Here is a 25,418-nt window from a genome sequence, read left to right on the forward strand (position 1 = left end):
GCTACCTTTGGGTTCCAGGCCATTGGAGTTAAAGTGCATCCTCTTCTGACACTCCGTACAGCTCATCAGGAACCGGGTCACGGCCTCTCTCGGGAGGAAGGCATAGGTCTCTGCGATCTGGAGGAGAGAAGAGCTTCGCTTGTTATATGGATCTGTGGGGAGGCAACTTGGCCATGGGGTCACCAAGGTCTGAGCTTTGGTGGCAGGTGCTTCGGCTCTTGCAAGGAAAGTCAGGGATTTGAGGAGCAAGGGACAGGTGTCCTGGATTCTCAGCTGTGGCAATGAGACAGTACTTTTGTGGAAAACCATTTGTTTTAAAAATCGCAATAAAGGAGGTTAAAAATTGAAAAAGCAAACCCTTTAAACATTATCTAGTCTTTAACCTATATTCTAATAAGTAACATTCCTCAGAACATTTTATTGCTGCTACAAAAAAATGGGCTTACAAACATTGCTCTAGCGTAGGGTGAGCAGTTCCCCTCTTAGAGATGGATAGACTGAGACCCACAGATAAATTCACTGCCCCAGGCCCATACACAGAACCAAAGGTCCTACAAGCCATCTCCTGTGATCACTGACAGGTCAAGAACCTTCTTAGGAAGAGCTGTGAAGGGCTAGTACCAGGCATCAGACTTTTCAAACTAGACAGGCTCTGCAGGACCCCCATGTTCCAGGCAACTATGGCTTGGAGAGGTGAGCTGACTCCCCAAGGTCACAAGGAATTTTCAAGGCAGTGCCAGACTAAACCCCATGTTCCAGGTCACACCACTCCACAGTTGCCTCCAGAAGGCCTCCCCTAGTTGAGGAGGAGGACAGGGATGCAGAGGGCTGGGGGAGAGACACAAAGAAGGGAGGGAACATGAAAAAAGGGCTGGGTGGGGGAGTGGGGAAGAAGTGGCTGTGGGCCTAGGTGTCCAGCCCTTTCCTCTTGCTCTGGGTTTTGGAAAAGCCACTGACCCTGATTTAGCTGTCTGGTGGGGCCAAAGAGTCCCTTCAGTCCCAGGTTCCCTGGGCTGAGACTGCCCAGTTACTGGTTTTCCATGTGCTTCCTGGAGCCTGGGTCCTCCCGCACCTCTCCACTAAGGGGCAGCATCACCCAAGCGTTCCGCTGTCCTCGCCGCAGCCCGCAGCCGGGCTGGGAAAGTTGGCCAAGGGTGAGGGGCTGCTCTGCGCTGCGCTTGGCCCCGCCTTCCCACAGCAACTGCAGGGGTTTGCTCCTTTAGAAATGCACGAATGTCCTTCTCCATCTCTGTGATGGCTGGAGGGTAGAGGTGGGCTAGGGCGGGGCTGGGGAGTGGAGTTGTGGGGGGATGCAGAAGGCTTGGGGTGTCCCAGGCTGTGGCTGGGCTCTTGGAGGACCAGCTCAGGCACAGCTTCCAGCTCAGCCCACTGGCAGAGTCCAGGGGCCACTCTTGCCAGCTGCAAATGCGAAGTTAATTTTGGTGACACAATTGTTATTTCTCAGCTGATTTGATGCTCTGTGGAGCAGGCAGGCTCCTTGATGAGTTATCTCCCTTCCAAATTCCCTGTCTGATTGCCTTCCTCTGGAGGTCAGGGACAAGGGCAAACCCCAGTGTCTCTGACTGGAGCAGCGGATGGGAGAGCAACATCAGGGATGCAGCTGGTCCTTGTCAGGTGTCAGGTCCGAGGGATGGGGCTTTTCTGCCATGCACACAGAGAGCTTCATCCCTAGCCCAGGCCAGGATAAATGTGGCCACCACTCTACCCCTGGAGAGGGAGCCATTCCTGTGCCCTCAGTAGGCCAGGCAGCAAGAAGGGCCCTGCCCATCCTGTGTGCAGCCCTCAGCAGAGCAGCCCAGGGCTGCCTGGAAGTCTGGGGGCACGTTCCTCTCAGGCCAGCTGGGTCTGGAGAGAGATGTCTGGCTGAAGGGTGGCAGCTGCAGGAGCAAGTGTGCAGGAGGGAAGGGCGTGTGCTAGGCAGAGCAGAGGGCTGTGGCTGACTTGGGCCGACAGATGCCCCTCGGCTCCCCTGAGACGTGGCACCCTAGGTCAGGCCTCAGGAGAGCTCAGTGGAGGGCCCGGGGGAGGGTTGCACAGTCAGCTGGGAGAAGAGGGCCAGGTCCCTACCATGAGGGCAGCCCTACTAAGCTACCCAAAGCTTGCCTGCTCACCTGCCAATGGGCAGAGAAATATTTTTTAAAGGGCTCAGGGGGTCCTCCTGGCCTGGCTGCTCTGCTGAGGGCTGCACACAGGATGGGCAGGGCCCTTCTTGCTGCCTGGCCAGCTGAGGGAATAGGAATGGCTCCCTCTCCAGGGGTAGAGTGGTGGCCACATTTATCCTGGCCTTGGCAGGGACCCCAGCAGTGTGCAAAGGCTGGCTGGCGTGCCACAGGGAGGGGAGTGCTGAGCACACACCTTCTGGCCCTGGGTCCCATTGATGGGTGGAAGGGGAGGATAGAAGGCTGACAGGTGAGAAGTCCTTGGAACTGCCTGAGGGCCAGGGAGGGAAGCCCTGCCCCACAAGGCTGGATTGTCTGCAAGCCTGGCTTAGAGCTCCCTGGGGAGTCAATAAAGCGCAGAGTCCAGCCCAGCTCTGCACTGCCGTAGGGACCTGTATAGAGGATGACAAACCCTCCCCCTGCAACCTTCAGCAGGCATCTTCTGATTCATCTTCCTGGCTTGCCTGGGACCAGAAATGGGACCTCCATTTCTGATTGAGTGCACGAATGCCCAAGGCCACAGGACCACAGAATGAGTCGAAACCAGGAGGACAATCCTAGCAGATGCTCTAGTTAATAGGATGGTGGTTTTCAGATGGTTTTAGATTTAAGCTGCAGACCCTGTTCTAGAAATAGACTCATACACTGAAGCCCAAAACATGAAACAGATAAAGACAGAGCTGCTGTGTCTAAGGAGGGGAAGTTCCAGGACCCTTGTCCCTGCCCAACTGCCCTCCGCTGCCCTGGGCTGCCTGCTGCCTTGCTCCCCGGGCCTCCTGCCTGGACACTGAGTCCCGTATGTGAATTTGCCTTTCACATTTTTCCTGGTGGTAAAAAACAGGGACTTCACTGGCAGAGAGAGCAGGAGCTATTTGCAGAGTCGCTGACTTGCAAGGCCCCATTTCACTCCCCAACTCAGAGGCCAACAAAGACAGATGAGGCCAATTGGGGGGATTTGCACCACTTTACAAGATCCTCCTTCTGCCCTGAGGGTGGATTAGCACGTGGTGGGCCTGGAGCAGCTGCTGACCACATCTGGCCCCAACTCCAAAGTGGCCTGGGCAGCTAGATCCGGACTGTGGAACCCGATCTGACCTACCAGCACCCTGGGAGGGAAAAAGGAAGCAAAAGGGCTTGTTCCAACCCAGAAGGGTGCAGAAATCAGAAAAGCAGGAAGGCCCCTTGGAAAAAGGACTAGCCCTCTGTGTGAGTTCAGGAAACTCTGTAGAACCAGCTGGAGCCTTCCTCAAACCCTGGTGCTGGAGAGACCTCCGAGATCCTCTGCACCTCAGGTCACACTGAGAAGCTAAGTGAGACAGGGACTTCCTACTCGAAATGGGAATCCCTGCATTATCCATTGCACATGGCCATCTAACTCCAGCTCGAATACCTCCAGTTTCAGAAAGCTCATTGCCTGCCCTATCTGATCCACGGGTGGACAGCAGTAGATGCCAGAAAGCTCTTTTCCCTACCAAATAACACGCCTCATTTAGTGCACTGAAAAAGTCTGCCACCGCCCTGCCAGTCCTAACTCCTATAGTACCCTCCTAGGCCTGGAAAAATCCAGAGGGGCCCTGTGCCCTAGAGACTGTCAGGCAGTCTGAGGATTCAGCGTTGGCAAAACACAGAGATAGATCCAAAAAGTCCTCAGCCAGGAGCTTGATGCGTACCCCGTGATGCCAGGCTGTGCCCCTCTGCAGCCATCAGCAGGGGTTTCCTTGGGGGCTCCTTCCACAGGCATGGATGGGTGGGGGCCTCGTGTCTGCAGAGTGGGGCTGAAGAGCTAGGTATGGGTCGAGGAAAATGGGAGCAGATGAAGAGGGGCACAAAGGCATCCAGGCACCACCCCCTGCCCCCAAAAAAGGAAAAGGGTGGCATGAGAAGGGTGACAGATGGGGAGGAGAAGGGGAAAAGGAGAGGAGGCACGTAGGGGAGGAGGGAGGTGTGCCAGCCCCTTCGGCCTCACACCCACGGCAGGAGGGCCCTGGCCTGCTCAGCTCAGCCTTGGCCCTGCTGCTGAAATTCCAGCTCTGTGTGCAGCTCAGCTGGCTCAGTGCCAGTCATGTGCCAGCTCCAGGCTGGGCAGCGGGAAGTGGGGCACGCGGCAGGCATATGGACGAGAAGCCAGGAAGTGCAGAGCAAAGGGCTGGATGTCCGCTTGGCCCAGGGATGCAAGTGCTGGCAGAACCAGCTCAGCCCTGCCCTCCCCACAGCATGGAGGCCGCAGACCCCTGCCTTCCTAAACCGCCCAAAGAGTGCCTGTGGACGAGGCTTGATGCTGGACACCGAAGGGGCCAGGGAAACCACATGATCCAGCTGGCTCCAGCCCATCCGCCTGGACAACAGCAAGTCATAGGGCTTACTAGCTGACCACAGGAGGGTTGCAGAGAGGCAGGATGTGTGGTGGTCAGGGCACAGGCTCTGGGGTGGGTGGCCTGGCTCTGAATGTCAGCTGACTGACCTCAGGCAGGTTATGTGTTTCTCTGAGTCTCAGTTTTCTCATCTTAAAATGGAGGTAACAACAGCACCTGCTTCATGCATGCAACCTTCATACATGTGTAGGAAGTGCTGGTGTAGAGCACATGCTGACTGCTCAGCACAATGGTGAATTTTATTTATTTCTTTTTGAGACAGGGTCTTGCTCTGTCACCCAGGCTGGAGTGCAGTAGTACAATCATAGCTCACTGCAGCCTCAAGCAATCCTCCTGCCTCAGCCTCCCAATCAGCTAGGACTACAGGCACACACCACTAGGCCTGAATTTTTTAATATATTTTTTATTTTTATTTTTGGAGACAGAGTCTCACTCTGTCACCCTGGCTGAAGTGCAGTGGCATGATCCCAGCTCACTGCAACCTCTGTTTCCTGGGCTCAAGTGATTCTCATGCCTCAGCCTCCCAAGTAGCTGGGATTATAGGCATGCGCCACCATGCCCAGCTAATTTTTGTATTTTTAATAGAGGTAGGGTTTTGCCATGTTGGCCAGGCTGGTCTCACACTCCTGGCTTCAAGTGATCTGCCTGTCTCGGCCTCCCAAAGTGCTGGGATTACAAGCATGAGCCACCACGCCTGGCCCCAATTTTTTTTTTTAAGAGAAGGGGTCTTGCTATGGTGCCCAGGTTGGTCTTGAACTTCCAGCTCAAACAATCCTCCCATCTCAACCTTCCAAAGCGCTGGGATTATAGGTGTCAACCACCATGCCCCACCCACAATGGTAAATTTAATGCTGAGAAAATGTGGTCTTGTCAGTGCCAAGGGGCCCATGTGGGCCCCAGCCTGGGTGCCTCTTCCTTCTTCTATGATCCTCTGGTGGAAATACCCTCAGAACTCCCTTCCCACAAGTCACTTCCCAAAGCACACAGACCGAGAAGCAGGAGGGGCGGGGAGACCATCACCATCTCCTGCCTTCCTGGGCAGACACCTTGCCTCTCTGAGGCTCTTGGCACATGGGTCCATCCTTAAAATCCATTTAGGGCAAAAGCCATTTTCTGAGGACAAGGACTAACCGGATGGTTGCATTAAAAAAAAAAAAAAAAAGATGGGCCATAAGGGGAAATTATAGACTTTACAGCCACCTCCACGGTAGTCCAAAGCTATTTATACAAAGAACTTGGGGTGGGAAGTTTCACATCTGCCTTGGGTGGGGAAGCCCAGCCACAGAAGGGCATATCTCTAGAAGCTCCAGAGAAAGTCGGCATGGAGGACACTGGCTGACTGCAACTCAGCTGCCGTCTGACCTTGGACAAGTGACCCAATTCTCTGGGTCCCAGTTTCCTTAACTGTGAAATGGGTCCTCAGTGCCTCGGTCACAGGACTGCATCAAGGCTTGAATGAGCATGAAGGGCTTGGCTTTACTGGCTTCCCTGGGCACTGGACAAATGGTTCAGAGCTATGTATGAGCTGTGGATAGGCCCACATGTGGGTCAGCAGGAGATGGATCAGAACACAGGCAGGCCCCTCTGCAGGGTGAGGAGGGGCCTCTGGTCTGGCCAGTCCCATCTATTTCCACCTCCCTGGCATTTGTGATGCTTCCTGCCCCTAGGTTGCCTTTTTTGCCCTTATGCCTCCCCAAAGCGTAGAATGCCAGTACAGGTGTCACCTTCTCCACACAGTCCCCCGGGCTCATCTGTGTCTGGCGGTGCCTGTGCTAAATGCCCCTGAGCCTGGGTTCTTGCTCTCTCAAAGCGAGCCTTGGAGACATTTCTGCTTCTCATGTATCTTGTTTTTGCTCTCAGCCTCCCCACCCCAAATCCAATTGTGATCTCCTGGAGGGTGGGGAGCAGGTCCTTCGACTTCCCCTGGGGAACTCCCAGTCCTGACTTCACAGGATGAGCTCACACATAGGAAGAGCTCAGGACAGGCCTGGCATGCAGTAAATGCCATGCCATGAAGGCATTTGCTCCTCTGATTATTATCTGTCCCCAGCACCCCAGCCCCAGAACAGGCTGCAAGGGGCTGGGGGTGGTGTCGGGTGGGAGCAAGTGAAGCAGAAACGGGGAAGAGGAGGGCGCCTCCTGCCCTCATCCCTCTCCTTCCCTCCCTCTCACCCCCTTCAACCTGCTTTTCCTTTGTGCTCAGACCACAGATTCCCTCCCCTCGCCCTGTGAGCCATCTCTGGCTGCCGTGCCCTTGCCCTGTGCCCCCCTAGATCCCCAAAGGCCGTTTCATCACGCCTCAGCTCCCTGCCCCGCCCCCCAAGCCCAACATGTGCGGAGCCCGTGGCCTCCTGCCAAGGCCTGGGGCTGCCAGTGGAGGCAAAGAGACAGAAATCTCACCGCTCGGTAGGTTTTCTTCTGCCCAGCGTGCTTGGGGGCTTTGCCTGGCTCCGCTGAGCTCTCCACATGCATCGAGTAGATGATGTCAAAGAAATCTTCCACCACAGCGACCCGCTTCAGAGAGATGCCCTCTGGCTCCGACAGGCCATCTGCCCCCTGCGACAGGGTGGACAAGCTGTGTTAGTGTCAGGAATGATGGCGGGGTGAGAACTGGGCCCTGAGGCCGGGGCAAGGGGTCAGGACGGGCAATGCCTCCGACAGTGGGTCTTGGGGTGGGGAGGGGAGGGAGCCTACCGAGGGGGCTCCCTGGAGGGGGACGCCAGAGTCAGGGTGGCTGCAGCTATGAAATCTACCAGCAACAATGGGCAGAGAACGGCGACAACGAAAATACAAATTAAAAAACCAAGAGGCTCCATGTTCACAATTTCAGACAGATTGTGCCAGACTCGGGCGGGGAGCTCTTGAATCACACGCTGTGCCAAGACCATCCTGGAAGTCTCTGGGGAGGGGGGAGTGCTAAATAGATGCGGCCCCATCAGGAGCTCGCCAATTAGCAGTAACCTTTCACTGTGGGCCTGGGCTGGGGTCCCGGGGGAACAGCTCCGATCACCTGGGTGACTCCTGCCTCCGCCCTGGCCTTTCTGAAAAGCTTTTCGCGGCTGCCTGCCCTCCCCACTCCAGCAGCTGAGCGCCAGCAACGGCACCCGGGCCCTTTGTGTGTGGAGATGTACAGAATAACAGGCACGAGGCCACGAGGAGGTGGCAGGGCCGTGTGAACGGGGCGGCCGTGGGCCCCGAGCCTCTTATCAGGCTGGCTGAGTGGTGTCAGCTGGCCCGACTAGGTGTGCCAGGAGCAAGACGGGTCCTTCAATAGCAAACAGCTGTGGGGCTGACGCCTGCCCTCCCCTCCAGCAGGAAAGGGGGCTGCAGGGAAACCACAGGGCAGGAGGCTGGGGGTGAGGCCAGGGCCCGGAAGGGAACGGACTGCTGGGGAACTGCTCCGTGCAGGCAGTCCTCACAAGGGAGATACACAGACCCAGAGACACTAGGCTGTCAGCCACCAGCTCCTTCAGGGGAGTCTGTGGGGACGTTAGGGGGCTTTGAAGATCAAGAGCAAGCCATATGGAGGGAATTTGAGGGGAAAGGAAGCAGGCTTTTCTCTAAAAGTGCCCAAAAGACACATCTCCAAGAGAATTCTTCCCCAAAGGACCCCAACTCAAGGATGTCAGCAACAAGAGGATGTGGGCTTCGCCTGCTCCTTCTCAGCTCTCTCCAGCACTTACAACAGTGCCTGACACATAGTAGGTAGTCAGTAAATAATGACTGAATGACTGAGTGGTCATAAGTGGCAGCTGGGCAGGGTCACTTGGACACACTCTGCCATGGTTTGAATACGGCCCCATCATGGAAGTGGCCCTGTGACCCCGAGCACTTACTGTGCTTCGAGCTTCAGGCCCTTTATCTGTAAAATGGGGATAACAGAAGCCCCTTTCCCATGAAGAACTGAGTTGTGTGTGCAGCACTTGGCACTGAGCCTGGAGTACAGGGATTGCTAGATATTGTTATTAAGAAGTGCTTTGCAGTTCACCATGTTTCCCCCAGGTATGAGAGAGCCGAACACCGGGGCAACCCTCGGAGGTTGTTAGGGTCAGGACCTGCCTGAGGTACAGTGGCTGGTGGATGGCACAGATGGCTTCAGACCTTGGACTCTGTAGTCCAAGTAGAATACAGGCCACACTGGGAGGTGACGCTCGCTCACAACACGTTCTGGCACAGACAGGTCTTGGTTTCACCCAGTAGCTTTCTCGACACACCATGATGGCCGAACAGCAGTGTCTCTTCACCAGCAGCCCATTCAAGAGCAGAGAGCAGATGGGGGGCAAAGGGCATCTGGGATGTGGGGTCCCGAGCCCCACAGCTAGCGGGCAGTGTCCCTAAGTGGTAACCCTGGGAGGTGACCTCACTGGCCCCAACAAGGCCCTCTTGCCAGTGGCTTCCTTCCTGGTCAGAACCCATTTCAGTGGGACGTCTCAGATAGCACATATCTCTCTCTCTCTGTGTGTACAGGAGAAGCCACTTGCTGGTCCAGCTTCCTCGCTGTGAGATTATGGGCAAACCCTTCAACCTCCCCGAGCTTCATTTATGAGATGAGCTGTAAAGTTCCATGACTTTTCTGCTCTTAACCTCTCTCAGGAATCAATTTTACCTCTTTTGGGGAGTATCCCACCCCCTCCGACATCTCAGGCCATCTGTACGGGCTGATCAATGACTAACTTGTTCACTATTGACCCGTAAATGCCCAGCATTACAGGGCTCTTCATATACTGCCATGACAGGGTTGGGATGGGACAAATATTATGATAGGTCAGTTAGACTTTTAAAAAATTTTTTACTCAGCAAAGATATGGATTTGGGATGTACAGTTATAATACACTTCTAACCAGAGGTTCACATTGGTGAAAATAAACAAAATGAACCTTAAGAATGAATATAGCTGGTTTTGGCTGGGCGCGGTGGCTCACGCCTGTAATCCCAGCACTTTGGGAGGCCAAGGCGGGTGGATCATGAGGTCAGGAGATCGAGACCATCCTGGCTAACATGGTGAAACCCTGTCTCTACTAAAAATACAAAAAATTAGCCGGGCATGGTGGCGGGAGCCTGTAGTCCCGGCTACTCGGGAGGCTGAGGCAGAAGAATGGTGTGAACCCGGGAGGCAGAGCTTGCAGTGAGCCGAGATCGCGCCACCGCACTCCAGCCTGGGCAACAGAGCGAGATTCCATCTCAAAAAAAAAAAAATGAATATAGCTGGGTTTCTATTTGTTGATCTGGGCAGTAGTTATAGAAGTGTGTTCAATTTATTAAGTCATTAAATCTTAACACTTGGCCGGGAATGGTGGCTCATGACTGTAATCCCAACACTTTGGGAGGCCCAGGCAGCCAGATCACCTGAGGTCGGGAGTTTGAGACCAGCCTGACCAACATGGAGAAACCCCGTCTCTACTAAAAATAGAAAATTAGCTGGGTGTGGTGGTGCATGCCTGTAATCCCAGCTCCTCAGGAGGCTGAGGCAGGAGAATCACTTGAATCCAGGAGACAGAGGTTGCAGTGAGCTGAGATCACGCCATTGCACTCTAGCCTGGGCAACAAGAGTGAAACTCCATCTCAAAAAAAAAACAAAAACAAAAACCTTAACATTTATAATCTGTGTATTTCTGTATGTCTGATAAACTTTAATTTAAAAAACAGTTTTTAAAAAGGATATCATGGGGGTAGTTCCACTGAATTTTTAAATTCAGGTAAAATACCCATGCAGAATGTACCATCTTTACCATTTTTAAGTATAGAGTGAAGTCAGCCACATTTGGATCACCTGAATCCAGAGGCATAGCTCTAGAGGCTTAGCTGCTTAAAGGCCAATAGACCTCCCTGTTCAAAATTGTTTCAGACCAGAACACAGATATTTCTGGAAAAGGAAGGAGATAAAATTTTGTGGGAAGGAATGGAGAAAGAAAGCAATCTGATGAGGAGACAATATTTTATGTAGGTGAGATGGAAATTTCCCCCTAACCAGCTTGTGGGGGCCTTAGGTGGGTTACTTTATTTCTATACCTTTTTTTTTTTTCTTTTTTTTGAAACACAGTCTCACTCTGCCATCAGGCTGGAGTGCTCACTGCAACCTCTGGCTCCTGGGTTCAAACGATTCTCCTGCCTCGGCCTCCCAAGTAACTGGGATTAAAGGCGCCTGCCACCACACCTGGCTAATTTTTGTATTTTTAGGAGAGATGGCGTTTCACCATGTTGGCCAGGCTGATCTGAAACTCCTGACCTCAGGTGATCCATCCACCTCAGCCTCCCAAAGTGCTGGGATTACATGTGTGAGCCACTGTGCCCGGCCTATTTTTATACCTCTTGAAAGTCAGTTTCCGCACCTATAAAATGGGCCTAAAAAGTGCTAGTTGGATGTTCCAAGGATCAAGAATGTATGTCAGGCATCCAGCACATACAGACTTGGTTAATGTTCATCTCTTCCCTTGGACCCCTCTGAGTCTGGACATTTTGTGTTTAGGAATCTCCTCTTATCTCTGGTCCCTCTGACGCGTCCAGAGGGGACCCATGACAAAATGTGTCCCCCTCAGTAACACCCACCATCAGAAGAGATGCACAGTCTTATTTAATTCCTAAATAATATGCTAAGGCTCCCACAAACTTGGAATAAGCTTTCCAAAAGTCAAAGTGTAATTGACCAACCCAGATAAAAAAGCAAAACGTACTGTCCCATGTGGCCTGTCTCTTCCCAGCCTCCCACCTGCCCTCTTAGGTTGACTCTGGTAAACAACAGCTTTGCACCTGGTCCAATGTGACCATAAAATTAATCCCAGCAAAATTATTCAGGGAAGCAGTTTTCAGTTAGTTCCTTCTTTAAAAATTGATCACTTTCTCCCTTAATGTTCAAATTTGGGTCCTGTAATCCACCTATCTCTACAGCAAAGATTTACATAGGAAAGGAGAGGGCCTGGAGCGACCAGAACTCAAACCACGCAAGGGCTGCAGAGCCATACCTTGAACTGTCCTCTGGTGAGCTAGGGCCACCTGGATTCCATGTGTGCTACACCCTAGGGGAAGAACGCCAGGATGTCTACGTGGCCTTCAAGGAGAACCCTGAGAAGACAGCAACAAAGGGATCCGACAGTAGTCACGTGCCGCAGACATCTCTGCTATCCCTTGCATCCATGGAGGTAATAACCTTCATGCTAAATGCTGCAGGGGAGGCAGGCCTTCCCTAGCTAAGGATCCAGACAGTGCTGCAAGGGAAGAGCTGCTAATAAAGGAAGCAGAAAGCACCTTCCCTGTAGACTTGGGAAGCCCCTGCCATCCCCCTTCTGCCTGGTACCCAAATTAGCTTCATCTAATCCATTGCCCTAAGCAAACTGGACAGTGAATTGACAAAGGAAGTTCACTTTATCTATAGGCTGGATCAAGAAGGGACTTGGAGTCTCCTGCCTATCCCAGCTTCCTGGAAACACCTAGCAGGAGTAATGGAATGGAACCCTGTATCACCCCATGGGAAGAACCACGAAAAACACACAGTCACTTGTGTAGGATCAACCTCTGGGGCCTTCCTGCATGGAGAAGAACATTGCCATGGTAACACACACCATCCTTTCGAACCATCCAACCCCCAAACAGCCTGCCAGAGCCAGGCCAACAGAATCAGACATGGCAATAGTTTTAAAAATTTATGGAGAAGCTGGGCATGGTGGCGCATGCCTGTAGTCTCAGCTACTCAGGATGCTGAGATGGGAAGACCACTTGAGCCCAGGGGTTTGAGTCTAGCCTGGGCAACACAGCAAGACCCATCTCTAAAACAAAAACAAAAACAAAAAAAACCTACACATTTATGGAGCTACATTCTTGGACATCACCAGCTCCCTTAACACCAGCCCATTTGGGTTCTAAATGAAAAGCTAGGTGGCAAGTCATTGACAAAATCACCAAATGTCTACTTAAATACATCTGATATTTCAAAATATTACAGCAATGGTCCTTAGACCAGCAGCATTGGCATCACCTGGGAACTTGTTAGAAATGCACATTTTCAGGTTCCACCTTAAACCTACCAAATCTGATGTGCTGGGGGTTTTAACAGGCCCCCCCAGATGATTCTGATGCAAGACAGATTTTGAGAACTGCTGATCAGAATGTCTCCATGATTGAGCCAGGGAGGTAACTGTAGGAAAACAGGTATTGGCTCATTAAATATAGACATGCTCTGTGCTTCCTGGCCTAATATATTAATATTTTCATTTCCGATGAAGGCCAATTTTCCTAATGGTGAGAACAAAAGAATCTTATTGGGCAACATTAGTATAAATTCAACACATCTGCCCAGAGACTTAATGTGGATTATGGATAGAAAGAGCAGGAACGCCCTGCATCCTGACATCAGATTTTTAAGTCCTCCCTGGCAAAGTTAATAAATACTTAAGCAGGGCATCCCTTGGCAGGTCCTTTCTGGCTTCCTCGTTTTCCTCAGATGGATCTGAATGCTCAGCATGCTAATTCCCAGGCTGCAGACCTAAGAGGGGGATCGGCATGTCTTACCAGGCCATTAGACAGGCTCCTGCCGGGGCGACCTCAGGGAGCTCCTGAATCGGACTGAATCTTGCCTGTCTCCCCACATGAGCCAATTAAATGGACCCCTGCCCCTGATGGTGAAGTGAGGTCCAGTTGCTAATGGATTGCAGTTCTGTCATCTCCATTAGAGCTTCGAAGTCACTTGCTGGTAATAAGTTACATACTTATCAAGGTGGGATCACAGTTTTAGGCCACCAGGGTGCCATTTAGTGTGCCACCATCACTATATTAGTAGAGTGTGCCTTCCAGCAACGACGAGGCCATGGTTGAGAGGATGCGGCTAAATAGCGGAGACATTTCTCAACTGGGTTTCTCCGATGGTAGAAGAAAAAACCACAGAGAAAGGCCTTAGGATAGGCCTTCTGGTGCATTTCGGATCCAGCTCTTGACAAGGAATAAAAATCAACGAGATTGCTATTGGACGAGAAAGTCAGCCAGTAGAGCCCACCCCAAAGGAAGCAAATCTTTGGCTACCACGTGGGAGGGAGCCCAGGACTTCAGGGGGCTGATTGCACAGGCAAATGTGAGGATGCCGCTCCATCCCATCCAGGCCATCAAAGTGGCTGAGATCACAGACAAAAATTACCCTGCATATTAATTACTAGCATGCTCTTCCCAACTTCTGCAATCATGCCATTCCTCCTGTCCCCAAAACCCAGCCTTAATAAATTCAGTCAGGGCTGGGTGCAATGGCTCACGCCTCTAATCCCAGCACTTTGGGAGACAGAGGTGGGAGGATCGCTTGAGCTCAGGAGTTCAAGACCAGCCTGGGCAATACGGTGACCCCCACTCCCCCCACCCCCCGCCGCCAGGAGGTCTCTACAGAAAATGCAAAAAACCTAGCTGGGCGTGGCGGCATTCGACTGTAGTCCCAGGTACTCAGGAAGCTGAGGTGGGAGGATCACTTGAGCCTGGGGAGGTGTAGGCTGCAGTGAGTCATGACCGTACCACTAAACTCCAGCCTGGGTGACACAGTGAGACCCCATCTCAAAAAAAAAAAAAAAAAAGTCAGCCAGAACTGGAGTTTTAGAAGCTTCTGGGGGGATTCCTGTAAAGTCTCATTTCAGCTCCTGGTGGGGCTGAAAAAAGAAGCAAGGGGGAGGAGTCAGTCTCCTGCAAAGGGGCCCCACAGGGAAAGGAAGGAGGAGGTGGAGAGGAAATTGAAAACCACACTAAACTAAGAGAACAAAAAGAAAAGAAAACCAGAATGAAGACCATCACCCAAACACCCAGAAACCCTCTCTTCAGCATCCCCAAGAGAAGCTGTCATAATTTGTAAAGGGCAATCAGGTGATTGAAGAGAGGGTATTGCTTCACTGGGACAAAGGCAGTATTTTAATTTCTCTCGGTTCTGAATACTACCTACTGGGGACTGGAAATTGAAAAAAAAAAAAAAACCCTCCAAAATAGGAATTTACCCCAGAATTTTAGGACCCAAAGTTCCATTGAGCTTCGTAGGCCTGGATGGGGCAGAGGGATGGGACCACACTCTCCCCATAAATAAATAAATACATAAACAAGGCGCTGAGGACTCAATATAGCACCTGCCTCTTCTCCACCCTTGTGCACAATCTCCAACTGTTAGCGCGTAGCTGCCGCCGCCACCGCCACCACCGAGTCGCACCTGCCATCTGGAACAGGCCTCACATATTCCAAGACCTCCTTTCTGCTTCGCTGAACCTCCATCTTCTTTCAAATCACGCTGGGGACCAAAACGCACACCCCAGGCCACAGAGAAAGGTGCCTGGGACCAGCCCCTCAAACAACGGCGCTACATTTGAGGATGTCATCTCCTCCAAGCAGCTCTGAGTCTTTTTTCTCTTTCTTTTGGGTTTTGTTAACTCTGGGATGTCTGGAATGGGTGTAGGGGGAAGGAATGGGAAGAGAAAGGGGCACAGTGGGCCACAGTGCCCCCCAGTTAGAAGGAGAGGGGCTGGGGAAATGCAGATCCGAATGACAATGACTTATGAGGGCTGGAGGGAGGAGTACTGTCCAGCATCCCCGGACGGACAGGCCAGGGTCTGGGCCTGGCTGCAGGACTCTGGCCTGGCGGGGGCAGGGAGAGGGTCCACAGGAGGGTGCTGTAGAGGTGAAGTCACAGGCCTAAGGACAACCCAGCCCCCACCCCAGGCAAGGGGCTGTCCTGCCTGGGCCTCAGTTTCCCCCTGTGTGAGCAGACACCATAGGCATAATGGCTTTCGCCACCTCATAGGAAGTGTGTGGGAACCCAAATGATGCACAAACAGCACCCGCCCTAGAAGACACCCATTAAAGAGCTCTGTCTGCTACTCTGGCGACCCGCCTCCCGGGGCACCGCAGCCTAGGACAGGGAATCGGGAGTCACCGAAGGGGGGGTCCTAGGCGGAAGGAGGTAGCCCTGAGCCAGCCAGGCCCCGCGGGCGGGTCCCTCTCGGGCCGAGGAGGCGCCCTGGGCGCGCTAACGAGCGGAGAGCCCCAGGTGCGGGCCCCACCCAGGGCCGGGGGAAGAGGTGGGGCTGGAGGGGGAGGGGAGTGGGCCGCGCTAATGACTGTTGACAGCGCGCGCTGGGGCCGAGCTGGCCGCGCGCGCCGCTGACAGCTGCTCGGGCGGGGGGCAGGGGCGGGGGCGAGGCGGCCGCGCTCTCTTCACGGCGCAGGCGCGTGCGCCCCGGCGGGGAGGGGCGGGAAGGCGCGCGCGCGCCGGGCTGGGTTCGGAGGGCCTGCTGGAGCGGCTCGCGCGGGCTCCTCGCGGGCAGGCAGGTAATGAGAGTAACCATGGCAACCCACCAGAGGAAGTGTATTCTGCAGGAGACGTTAATCCCCTCTCCCCGGAGCTGGGACAGCCTGACTTTCCATTCTCACACAGTAATTAGATACCAGCTGTCAGTGCAGGGGGGACGGCTCCGCGGCTGCAGCCCGGCTGGGAGTGGGGGGGGGGGGGCGCACCAACGGGGCGGGGGGGGGACACGCAGGAACGGGGGCGTTAAAGACACAGGGACGCTCGGCTGCGGCGGGCCAGGGCGGCTGGCCTCCCCCTGTCTCCAGCCTCTAGGCGCGCGCCCGCTCACCTGGAGACCGCGCCCGCGCGGGCCCCGCCCACCCCACGCGCACCTGCTGCGCGCGCGCCCGCCGGCCTCGCGTCCCCCTTCCGGCCCCGCCAACCGGCTCCCGGCGCACCTGCCCTGCCCCGCCCCCCCGGGACGCTGCCCACCTGTCCTTTGTGCAGGGCGGTACCATTCGATCTTGCCAGCTCTCCTTCAGGGAGCGCCCGCTATGTGCCAGGCGCCGTGCCAAGCCTGATCTCCCGTAGTCCTCACAGACCCTCCGCGGTCAGTGCCTCTGCTGCTCCCCGCCCAAGGCGCAGCGGGGTGTGGCCATTTGCCCAGGGTCACGCAGACTTGAACCCCCCATCCCCGTGCCCATTTAACAACCAAGATACTGCGCCTCCCACCGCGTCCACATCCACATCTGCTGTGGCTCCGGGGCCTCCTAACCGTCCTGGGAGACAAAACAGTCACACTGGTGGCTGGCGTCGCGGTGCACCTACTGTGTGCCAAGCACTCACGGCCTCGTTTCACTTTCGCAACAGCAACGAGAGATCTGTTGTCCCAGGGTGAGGAAGCAAAGGCACAGAAGAGCTGAAGCGATTTGCCCACAGTCACAAGGTACAGAGTGACAGAGCTGGGGTTCAAATCCAGGGAGTCAGACCCCAGGATACCAACTACTGGGCTCCATTAGTCCCACCCCTGGATTCGTGGTGGCTGAAATCCAGCACACACCTCTTCTTCCTTTCCTCAGTTCAGCCCACGCAGGTTCTGTCCCAGCATCGTGAGTAGCTGCCTCTCCTAGCCATACCTGAGAAATCGAAGAAGTTTCTAGGCCTAAAGCCACTGCCACAACCCGCGTTTCTTTTTTTTTTTTTTTGGAGACGGAATCTTGCTCTGTAGCCCAGGAGGGAGTGCAATGGCACCATCTCGGCTCACTGCAACCTCCGGCTCCTGGGTTCAAGCGATTCTCCTGCTACAGCCTCCCGAGTAGCTGGGATTACAGACACACACCACCATGCCTGGCTAATTTTTGCAGTTTTAATAGAGACAGGGTTTCCCTATGTTGGCCAGGCTGGTCTCGAACTCCTGGCCTCAAGTGATCCCACTGCCTCGGCCTCCAAAAGTGCTGGGATGACAGGCATGAGCCACCACACCCAGCCCACAACCCTCATTTCTGTCAGGCCTCCCAAAAGCTCCTACTGTCAGTGCAGGCAGCTGCTTGGAAGTCATTCTAGGCCACCCCTTCCATTTCCCAGGTAGGTGAACCAAGACCATTCAGGTGCGAGGCTGGCCTGAGTCAGAGATGGCCTGGGAGAGCCTTTGGGGGGCAGGGAGGGTTCAGTCCCCTCAGGCCTGGCTGTGTCCCCTGCCCCCCACCCACAATCAGGCCCAGGGTTGGGGGGTGCACACCAAGGAGGGGCAGGAAGTGTCCAAGAAGCAGAACCGGCTCTGTGTCCCCAGTGGCGGCGGGTGTCTGGGGCAGGAGGAGGCTATCTGATCCCTTCCCCACTGCCCCGGCCATGACCTCCTCCCTCCCTCCCTCGCTCCCTCCCTCCCTCCCTCCCTCCCTCCCTCCCTCCCTCCTCCTTCATGGCTGGGGTAGCCAGCACCCTGGGCTGCAGCTGAGAACCCAGCGTTCCCCAACCCCGCCAGCATTCCAGTGAGAGGAGGGGTGGGGGGAGACTGCACCCAGAGCTTTAGGGACAGGGGCACCCCTGGGGCTGCTCCACTCTGGGAGGGCCAAGGCCAGGCTGCCTCCAACCTCACCGTTTCCTGCCTCCGCTCTCCCCATCTCTCAGTAGCAGAGCTGCCTAAATTTGGCTCCAGGAGGGAATGGGGGAGGCAGCGGCAGGCGGGTGCCGTCAGAGGCCAGGGCGTCGCTCCCGTCTAGCCGGCTGGCATTTTTGCTGTCTGGAGGAGGGCAGGGGGGCCCGGCAGCCCTCTCCCGGAAAGGGAGATGTTCGTACCTTCTGACATACACTGAGTAATGTGCAAACGACATGCAAACCGAGCTTCAAATCAGCATCTCAGCCAGGGAACAGCTTGAGAGCTGCTTTTGGGATGAGAGCAGAAGGACCAGAGCCCAGTGCCCAGGGGCTCCAGTGGGGGTGGGGTGGGGTGGGGGGCGGCACAGAGTGTCTAGGGCTGGGCGTTGGGAGACTCAGTTTCTTGCCAGCTGCAGGGCTTTGTTCCAGTGGCTGGACCCTCTGGGTCCCAGCCCAAGGGCAGGGCCATGGCTTTCTCTGCCTGCTCCAGCAAAGCACTGGGCACACCCTGTCACGTGGTTAAGCACGTGAGTTCTGCAGCCATCCTGCCTAGGTTTGAACCCTGGCTCTCCATGGGCCAGCTGAGTGAATTCCTCAATCGAGCACCCAGGCAAGCAGCTAGTGGAACTGGGTGTCTGTTTTAGAACAGCCACTTCCCTTCCCTGGAAGTTGGGCACGGGGGCATGACGTGAGAGAACCTGGGCTTTGGAATCAGAACTGGATTCCAGGCCTCACTCAGCCAGTGAGGCTCTCTGAGTCTCACTCCCCTCATTTGGGAAATGGGTTCAGGATCTCAAGGTCAGCTGTGACGTCCACGTGATGACCTTGCACATGGTGGGCACACACAGGCCTTCCCATGGTGCAGCCTCACTGCTGTCTGCATTCATGTGACTCCTAGCTCCATCCTGTCCCATCGCTCCTCTTCTCTTTGTTCTTCTGTCCTGGCTTTTTCGTCTCTAGATGTAAATTTCTTGCGGTCTTTTTCCCTTCTGTCTCTCTTCTTAACTGGTGATCTTGGAAAAGTCATTGCCTCTCAGAGTCTCAGTCTGCATATCTTCTAAATGGGAGTAAATGAGAGGTGGACAATGAGCTCTGTCTGGGGCCTGAGGCTCATCTTTACAAGACCGCCCACCCATCATTCCAAAGGGCCACCAGGGGTAGGCTGTGCCCTCAACTCTATCGGGCATGGTGTGTTGGGGGCTCCACTTCTCAGTAACTCTGTTTAACCCCAGATAACTGCTCTCCTGCCCCTCGGCCGGGGCTGATATGAGCTGAATCCAGCTTCCTGCCACCCAAAAGCCACTTCCTGCCAAGCTGATACCAGAAGAACTTGTTTTCTGTGCACAGAGCAGTCTCTGGTGGGGCAGCCACCAGCTTGCCTCGGGTGTGAACATTTTTTTCCATTTGCCGGTCTGTCTGCTGGGCTGGGCAGGGGAGGCTGGGGACTCTGACCCCTTCGCCTCTGCACGTGCCTGTCCTGCCCTGAGGTAGCCTCTGGGCCCACCAGCCATCCCAGGAAGGGTGCCAAGTGTCCCTCTGGGCCCAGACAGATGTGTGTAGGCCGTGACACACAGTCTGACACAGCCACACACACACAGTCAGTCTGACAGAGCCACTGTGGCCACTGGGCATTTGGGCAAGGACTCAGGGAGACAATGTGTGACTGTCACACACAGTTAAGGTCACAGAGACATGGACATAGCCTCACACATGCAACCATCTGCAGTCCTTGGACAGTCTCACACACAATTACACGCAGGCCCACAGCCATGCTCAGAATCCCACAGCACTCCACACAGCTTCACACATGTACACGGGAATCTTCCTCCCCGGCCCCCACACCTGCCCAGCACCGACCTTCCAGATGCATTCACTGATTCAACAAATCCTTTTTGAGGGTCTTCTCTGTGGAGGCCCTGGGCTAACCCATAATCAGAATGACTGGAACAGGAACAAATAATTAGCTGCCCTGTGCTGTTGCCTCCGTTTCCCCATCTGTGAGATGGGGATCCTAGCCCTGCCACATGGGACTGTCAATGTTAGGAGTGAATGTGTGGAAAGCCCTCGGTCCGTGTTTGGCCCACAGTGTCATCTAAGTAAGGCTATCCTGGTTAGCCAAAAGCATCCCATGCCCAGCTCCACGCAGAACACCTGGCACACATTATCTCCCTGAGCCCTTGTCCAAGTCCCCAGCAGCTGGGGTCATCGCCCCCATTCCTCAGATGAGGAAACCGAGGCTCAGAGAAGAGGCCCACAGTCTGTAGGTTGCCCCACCGATCTCATGTCATGCCACAGTGCTGCTCCAGCCTGCCTCGCCACCCCCTACACACACACACACACACACACACACACACACACACACACTATTCCCTCTGGCTAGAAGGCCCTTCTCACTTGCATATAGCATGCCCAGCTCCTCTGAGCTGCCTACTTACACTTCTGTGAAATGGGGATACTAGCCCGTGTCAGCCCCTGTTTATTTTCCCCAGGGCACTGGACTTTAAGGGCCAAGAGTGAAGACCATTTTGTCCTGTTCTCTGGCACACAGTAGGCACTCGACAACTATTTCAAAACTAAAGGAATAAGCAAGTGGCCTCATGGCTACTGAGGACAGAGTCTGGAACTGAATGCAGGGCACTCTGAAGCTGGAGCTCACTTCTACATTATTGCCTTTCTCATGCTACTAGCAGGCACTGAATGTGTCAGTGAGTGAATGAATGAAACCAAGATCTCAGGATCCCAGTCAAGTGCTCCCTGAGTTTCATTTCCTGGTAGTGTGGACATGAGCCAAGCTCCAGCCACCTTGGATGGTGGTGGGGGTGGCGGGGCTGATGGGCCGCCTGAAGCCGGCTGTCAGGAGCTCGTCTGGCCACAGCCGCCAGCAGGAGAGACCAGCTGGCGGTGCAGGGTCCATCGGCCCGGGCCTGGAATCTGAGCTGCCCTCAGAGGCCCAGCTTCTCTCTGGGCCCCCACAAACTGGCCTTTGTTCCTGGGCCGGCCAAGACCCAGCAGCTTGGGCTTTCTGTCTGCCCGCGGCACCCGCGCTGAGCTGGCGGGGTAAATGGGCCAGCCTCCCCTCTGTCCATGCCCAGGACGTCGCTTTAGGACTAAATGGAGATGTAATTTTCTATACAAATCCATGACAATTTAGATGGAGTGATTGTAATTGGCTTTTCAATGGGGGTTTTGTCCAGAGCTGGTGGCTAGAACTGGGTGGCCTGTTTGAGGCAGGCTCCATTTAAATGACAATAAAGCAATAATATTGAGGACTTGTACAGTGCCCAGCACTCCTCCCAGCCCAAGTAGAGCCTCATGTTTATGGATCTGGTCCTTCCCTGAGGCTGTCTGGACAGGCGGGTGGTGGGGGGCGCTAAGCCCAGGAGACAGGTGGCCATATCTTTGGGCTTCAGGACACAGAGCTTCAGAATGGCTGGGGCAAGGTCCCGCATCCACTGGCTTACCTGTGTCCTTATTCCTGAAACTGTCACTAACTAGTGCCTCCTCGGGCTAGCTGCTAGTCCAGGTTTCGGGGGCACCAAGACAATGAGAGCTGCTCAGGCAGGTCAGAGGGAGAAGGCTACAATGGCCAGTACAGCATGACATTTGAGAGCATGACCAAGAGATGACCAACAGCCAGACAGCCTGAGCTCAAATCCTACTCCACTTCTTTTTAAAAAAATTTTTTTTGAGACAGGGTCTCGCTGTGTCACCCAGACTGGAGTATAGTGGCAGGATCACGGCTCACTGCAGCCTCGACCTCCAAGGCTTAAGCAATCCTCCCACCTCAGCCTCCCAAGTAACTGGACCATAGGCATGTGTCACTACACCTGGCTAATCTTTTTATTTTTTTGCAGAGACAGAGTCTCATTGTGTTGCCCACGCTGGTCTCGAACTACTGGGCTCAAGAGATCCTCCCGCCTCAGCCTCTGAAAGTGCTGGGATTACAGGTGTGAGCCACTGTGCTCAGCCCCTACTCTACTTCTGACTCGTCTCTTGAACCTTACCAAGTTACTTAACCTCTCCATGCCTCAGTTTCCCCAGCCATAACATGAAGCTGCAGTGAAAGTTTTTGTGAAGATGAAACACCTTAATAGTGCCTGGCATGTGGAAGGTGCTATATATAAGTCATTGCCGTGATTCATTCCAAGCTCTAGCTCTGGTGTCAGGGTGACCTTGGGCACGTGACTTAACCTCTTTAAACCTCCACTGGCTCCTCTTTAAAGTGGGGCTTTTAGGAGAACCGACCTCACGGGGTTGTGAGGATTTTAGAGGATGCAGGAAAGCGCTGAGCACACAGCCGTTCTCGATAAACACGAGCTCTCTTGCTGTGGTGCTCTTGCCTTGAGGAGCTCGCCAGCTAGTGATCATTACCATGTCGAGTGTGGGGAAAAGGGAAAAGAATAAAGCTCGCGGGAAGCCACCACGGAGCTCAGCTGGCTCTGCCATCAGGGGATGCAATAGGAGAGAATGATCCAGAGGGCCCTCAGGAACAGGGCAAGGAGTGGGGCTGCGTGAAGGAAGGCTTCACAGAGGAGGTGACATTTGGGCTGGGTCTTGAAGGATGCGTGGCACTTCTGCCACCAGAAAGGGTGATACCCAGCCTGGCCAACATGGTGAAACCCCGTGTCTACTAAAAATGCAAAAATTAGCTGGGGCTGGGCACGGTGGCTCATGCCTGTAATCCCAGTACTTTGGGAGGCCCAGGTGGGTGGATCACTGAAGTCAGGAGTTCGAGACCAGCCTGACCAATATGGTGAAACCCTGTCTCTACTAAAAATACAAAAATTAGCTGGGTGTGGTTGTGGGCACCTGTAATCTCAGCAACTAGGGAGGCTGAGGCAGGAGAATCGCTTGAACCCAGGAGGAGGAGGTTGCAGCGAGCTGAGATCGTGCCATTGCACTCTAGCCTGAATGACAGAGCGAGACTCTGTCACAAAAAAAAAAAGAAAAAAAAGATTAACTGGGTGTGGTGGTGCACACCTGTAGTCCCAGCTTCTTGGGAGGCTGAGGCACAATAACCACTTGAACCCAGGAGGTGGAGGTTGCAGTGAGCCGAGATCTCGCCACGGCACTCCAGCCTGGATGACAGAGGGAGACCTTGTCTCAGAAAAAAACAAAAAAAAAAAGATACCAGGGTCAGGCACTGTGGTTACAAAGTCAACAGGCAGACCTGGCTGCCTCCTGAATGAGTGATTTGTGCCTGTGAAAAGGGTGGTGGACAGGGAGCCTCTGCTGAAGGTGCGATGTTAAGTCACCTCTGAAGGCCAACAGCCTGTGCAAAGGTCTTCAGGCAGGCAGGCGGCCGGCATCGTGGGCAGTGGTGTGTAGGATGGTGGGGAGGCTATGCTGAACGTGCTGGAGGGACGGATGGGGTGGCGGCTGTATTCACGTGAAACAGGCAGCCATAGAGGGATTTTAAGCAGGCGGGTGACACCATCCAGAGGATATTTTTAAATGATCCCTCTGACTGCTCGTGGAAAATGGGCTATGGAGAAGAAGGGGTGAGAGAGAGGCAGGGAAGCCATGGGGAGGCAGTTGGATCACTGGGGGAGAGAAGTGGTTAGACCCAAGGTATAGCAGGGCCCAGGAGCTGCTGGAAGGATGATGGGAAGGCAGGGGGCGGGTGGAGAAAGGAAGGGGGAAGGGGTACAAAGAGGCATGGGGCCTTTGAGGCGTGGTGAGGGGCTGTGTGCAGCTGGTACCTGAGCAGGGTTGGTGGAAGGAGATAGCAGAAGAGAGGTGAGGGCCACCTCCCACCTCCCTGCGCCAGGCTAAGGCTCTCCAGCTTTGTCCTGAAGGCAGTGGGGTGCCAACAAGGATTTTTCTCCAGGCAGGAAAAGACCATGCTGAGATTTGTGCTTTTGAAGGATCATTTTGGCTGCAGGGTAAAGGGGTGGGAGGTGGCAGGTGGGCGAGGCTGGAAGGAGAGAGGCAGGGAGGGAGGGTGGTCAGTGGCGGCTCAGAGGCCTCAGCAGGCATCCTGGCCAGCTCCCAACTCCAAGAGCAACAAACCACTTTCTCAGAGGTCTAAAACCAGCCCCAGGTCACACGGCTTGTCAATGGCAGAGATAGATCCCACCCCAGGGTGAACTCAAAATCCAGTGCACTGTTCCCCTTTGCTATCAACAGCCTTGGTCACTAGTAAAATCCATCACAAATAGCTTTTCATCACGACTCTCAGAGAACCCATACTATGACACGAAAAGGTGAGTACTATTATTATTCCTATTTTACAGATCAGGAAACTGAGGCTAAGTCACCTGCCTAAAAGCACACAGCTGGGAATTGACAGCCAGGTTCAGATCTAGGCAGTGTGACTCCAGACCCACACCACAGGTCCTAAGCAGGAGGTCTCAGGCCAAGTGGGGTCTATGGATGTATCTGGGGGAACCTACAGAGGTTTATTACAATTTGAGTTTGTTGCTGATACTTAAAAGTTGGGGCTGGGCATGGTGGTGCCTGCCTGTAGTCCCAGCTACCCAGGAGGCTGAAGCAGGAGGATTGCTTGAGCCCAGGAGTTTGAGGCTGCAGTGAGTTATAATAGTGCCACTACACTCCAGCCTGGGTGACAGAGCATGACCCTGTCTCTAAAGAATAAAAATTTTTAAAAAATGGGACATTTCATGAAAGAAGAAAAACATGAACTTTGGACAGGACCTCCTAATGTTGACAACCCCAAGCCCCAGTCCTTGAACTTCGTCCACCTTGGGGCCACTCACACGTGTGCGATGTCACGTTGACATCTCCAGCATGGGCCTCTCCTCTGCTGCCGGACAGCCGACTGGACTGAAAGCAAGTGTGTGTCTAGGGCCCCCTGGAGAGCCAGGGCGACACATCCATCCACTCATCCAGCAAGCATTTAGACCCCCTTCCCCCGACCCGCCCACAGCCCTGGCCACCACCACCAAACTTCCTCCCCCAGCAGGCTTCTCCATCTCCCTTGCTTAGGCCAAACACCCTGAAGGCATCCTTGACTGCTCACTGGTTCTCACAGCCCACATCCCATCCATCAGCAAGTTCTGTTGGCTCCACCTTTAAACTATATCCAGAATGCAGCTGCATTCTCCGCTGTCCCAGGGGCTGGAGGTGCAGGGAGAGGCATGTGCCGTTATTCTAGCGTGCTGAGTCTCAGTTCCATTGTCTGTAAGAAGGGCGGGCTAGAGCAGGATATTTGGATTGCCATTATTCTTGTGTCCAGATTTTGGAGCTAGGAAGAGCCTGTTTACAAGACACTTAGGTTGTAATTCTTTTTTTTTCTTTCTTTTCTTTTTTTTTTTTTTTGGAGACAGAGTCTTGCTCTGTCGCCCAGGCTGGAATGCAGTGGCATGATCTTGGCTCACTGCAACCTCCGCCTCCTTGGTTCAGGCGATTCTCCTGCCTCAGCCTCCCAGTAGCTGGGATTACAGGCAGGCACCACCATGCCCGGCTAATTTTTGTATTTTTAGTAGAGACGGGGTTTCACCATGCTGGCCAGGCTGGTCTTGAACACCTGACCTCATGACCTGCCGGCCTTGGCCTCCCAAAGTGCTGGGATTACAG

At 54.2% G+C, this 25,418-nt stretch overlaps 1 protein-coding gene and 1 long non-coding RNA gene across 4 annotated transcripts in view, besides 9 other annotated features; one reads left to right on the forward strand and one right to left on the reverse strand.

The window, feature by feature from the left end:
- The window catches only part of NOL4L (nucleolar protein 4 like), a 142,275-nt gene that overhangs the window by 77,747 nt on the left and 39,110 nt on the right, over nucleotides 1-25,418 (reverse strand). The window contains exons 2-3 of the mRNA NM_001256798.2: nucleotides 6,953-7,108; nucleotides 6-117 (exon numbers count right to left, since the gene is read on the reverse strand). Of these exons, the coding sequence (NP_001243727.1) occupies nucleotides 6-117; nucleotides 6,953-7,108 (268 nt within the window). The remainder of the gene's footprint in view (nucleotides 1-5; nucleotides 118-6,952; nucleotides 7,109-25,418) is intronic.
- Nucleotides 3,726-8,506: an enhancer, noted in NCBI's record as "VISTA enhancer hs2225". NCBI's record gives its function as "enhancer in: hindbrain (rhombencephalon)[7/9] | midbrain (mesencephalon)[7/9] | dorsal root ganglion[7/9] | forebrain[7/9] | trigeminal V (ganglion, cranial)[7/9]" and the evidence as "EXISTENCE:transgenic organism evidence [ECO:0001131][PMID:17130149]".
- Nucleotides 6,490-6,663: a silencer, noted in NCBI's record as "fragment chr20:31115098-31115271 (GRCh37/hg19 assembly coordinates)". NCBI's record gives its function as "represses an EF-1alpha promoter that drives an FKBP-Casp9 reporter gene in an ReSE screen in phorbol 12-myristate 13-acetate-treated (for megakaryocytic differentiation) K562 erythroleukemia cells {active_cell/tissue: K562(+PMA)}" and the evidence as "EXISTENCE:reporter gene assay evidence [ECO:0000049][PMID:32094911]".
- Nucleotides 13,821-14,115: an enhancer, noted in NCBI's record as "tiled region #5058; K562 Activating DNase matched - State 8:EnhW". NCBI's record gives its function as "activates a minimal TATA promoter and a strong SV40 promoter by Sharpr-MPRA in K562 cells {active_cell/tissue: K562}" and the evidence as "EXISTENCE:reporter gene assay evidence [ECO:0000049][PMID:27701403]".
- Nucleotides 15,376-15,755: a silencer, noted in NCBI's record as "silent region_12791". NCBI's record gives its function as "represses an Ori minimal core promoter by ATAC-STARR-seq in GM12878 lymphoblastoid cells {active_cell/tissue: GM12878}" and the evidence as "EXISTENCE:reporter gene assay evidence [ECO:0000049][PMID:35858748]".
- LOC105372592 (uncharacterized) lies at nucleotides 15,788-21,148 on the forward strand. Of its 3 annotated transcripts, none has more exons than XR_007067563.1 (3): nucleotides 15,788-15,826; nucleotides 16,656-16,731; nucleotides 20,369-21,148. It is a non-coding gene; the product is annotated as an uncharacterized LOC105372592 (long non-coding RNA). The 3 variants fall into 3 exon arrangements; XR_007067562.1 differs by lacking the exon at nucleotides 15,788-15,826 and adding an exon at nucleotides 16,288-16,395; XR_936679.3 differs by lacking the exon at nucleotides 15,788-15,826 and having other exon boundaries at nucleotides 16,243-16,731.
- Nucleotides 15,936-16,907: an enhancer, noted in NCBI's record as "H3K27ac-H3K4me1 hESC enhancer chr20:31124544-31125515 (GRCh37/hg19 assembly coordinates)". NCBI's record gives its function as "activates a minimal SCP1, AML or CMV promoter by ChIP-STARR-seq in naive and primed H9 embryonic stem cells {active_cell/tissue: H9 hESC(naive and primed)}" and the evidence as "EXISTENCE:reporter gene assay evidence [ECO:0000049][PMID:30033119]".
- Nucleotides 16,186-16,295: a silencer, noted in NCBI's record as "silent region_12792". NCBI's record gives its function as "represses an Ori minimal core promoter by ATAC-STARR-seq in GM12878 lymphoblastoid cells {active_cell/tissue: GM12878}" and the evidence as "EXISTENCE:reporter gene assay evidence [ECO:0000049][PMID:35858748]".
- Nucleotides 17,879-18,850: an enhancer, noted in NCBI's record as "H3K4me1 hESC enhancer chr20:31126487-31127458 (GRCh37/hg19 assembly coordinates)". NCBI's record gives its function as "activates a minimal SCP1, AML or CMV promoter by ChIP-STARR-seq in naive and primed H9 embryonic stem cells {active_cell/tissue: H9 hESC(naive and primed)}" and the evidence as "EXISTENCE:reporter gene assay evidence [ECO:0000049][PMID:30033119]".
- Nucleotides 20,280-20,785: an enhancer, noted in NCBI's record as "H3K4me1 hESC enhancer chr20:31128887-31129392 (GRCh37/hg19 assembly coordinates)". NCBI's record gives its function as "activates a minimal SCP1, AML or CMV promoter by ChIP-STARR-seq in naive H9 embryonic stem cells {active_cell/tissue: H9 hESC(naive)}" and the evidence as "EXISTENCE:reporter gene assay evidence [ECO:0000049][PMID:30033119]".
- Nucleotides 20,786-21,291: an enhancer, noted in NCBI's record as "H3K4me1 hESC enhancer chr20:31129393-31129898 (GRCh37/hg19 assembly coordinates)". NCBI's record gives its function as "activates a minimal SCP1, AML or CMV promoter by ChIP-STARR-seq in naive H9 embryonic stem cells {active_cell/tissue: H9 hESC(naive)}" and the evidence as "EXISTENCE:reporter gene assay evidence [ECO:0000049][PMID:30033119]".

This window comes from Homo sapiens, chromosome 20 (assembly GCF_000001405.40).
Source record: "Homo sapiens chromosome 20, GRCh38.p14 Primary Assembly".
In the NCBI taxonomy this organism is placed as follows: domain Eukaryota; kingdom Metazoa; phylum Chordata; class Mammalia; order Primates; family Hominidae; genus Homo; species Homo sapiens.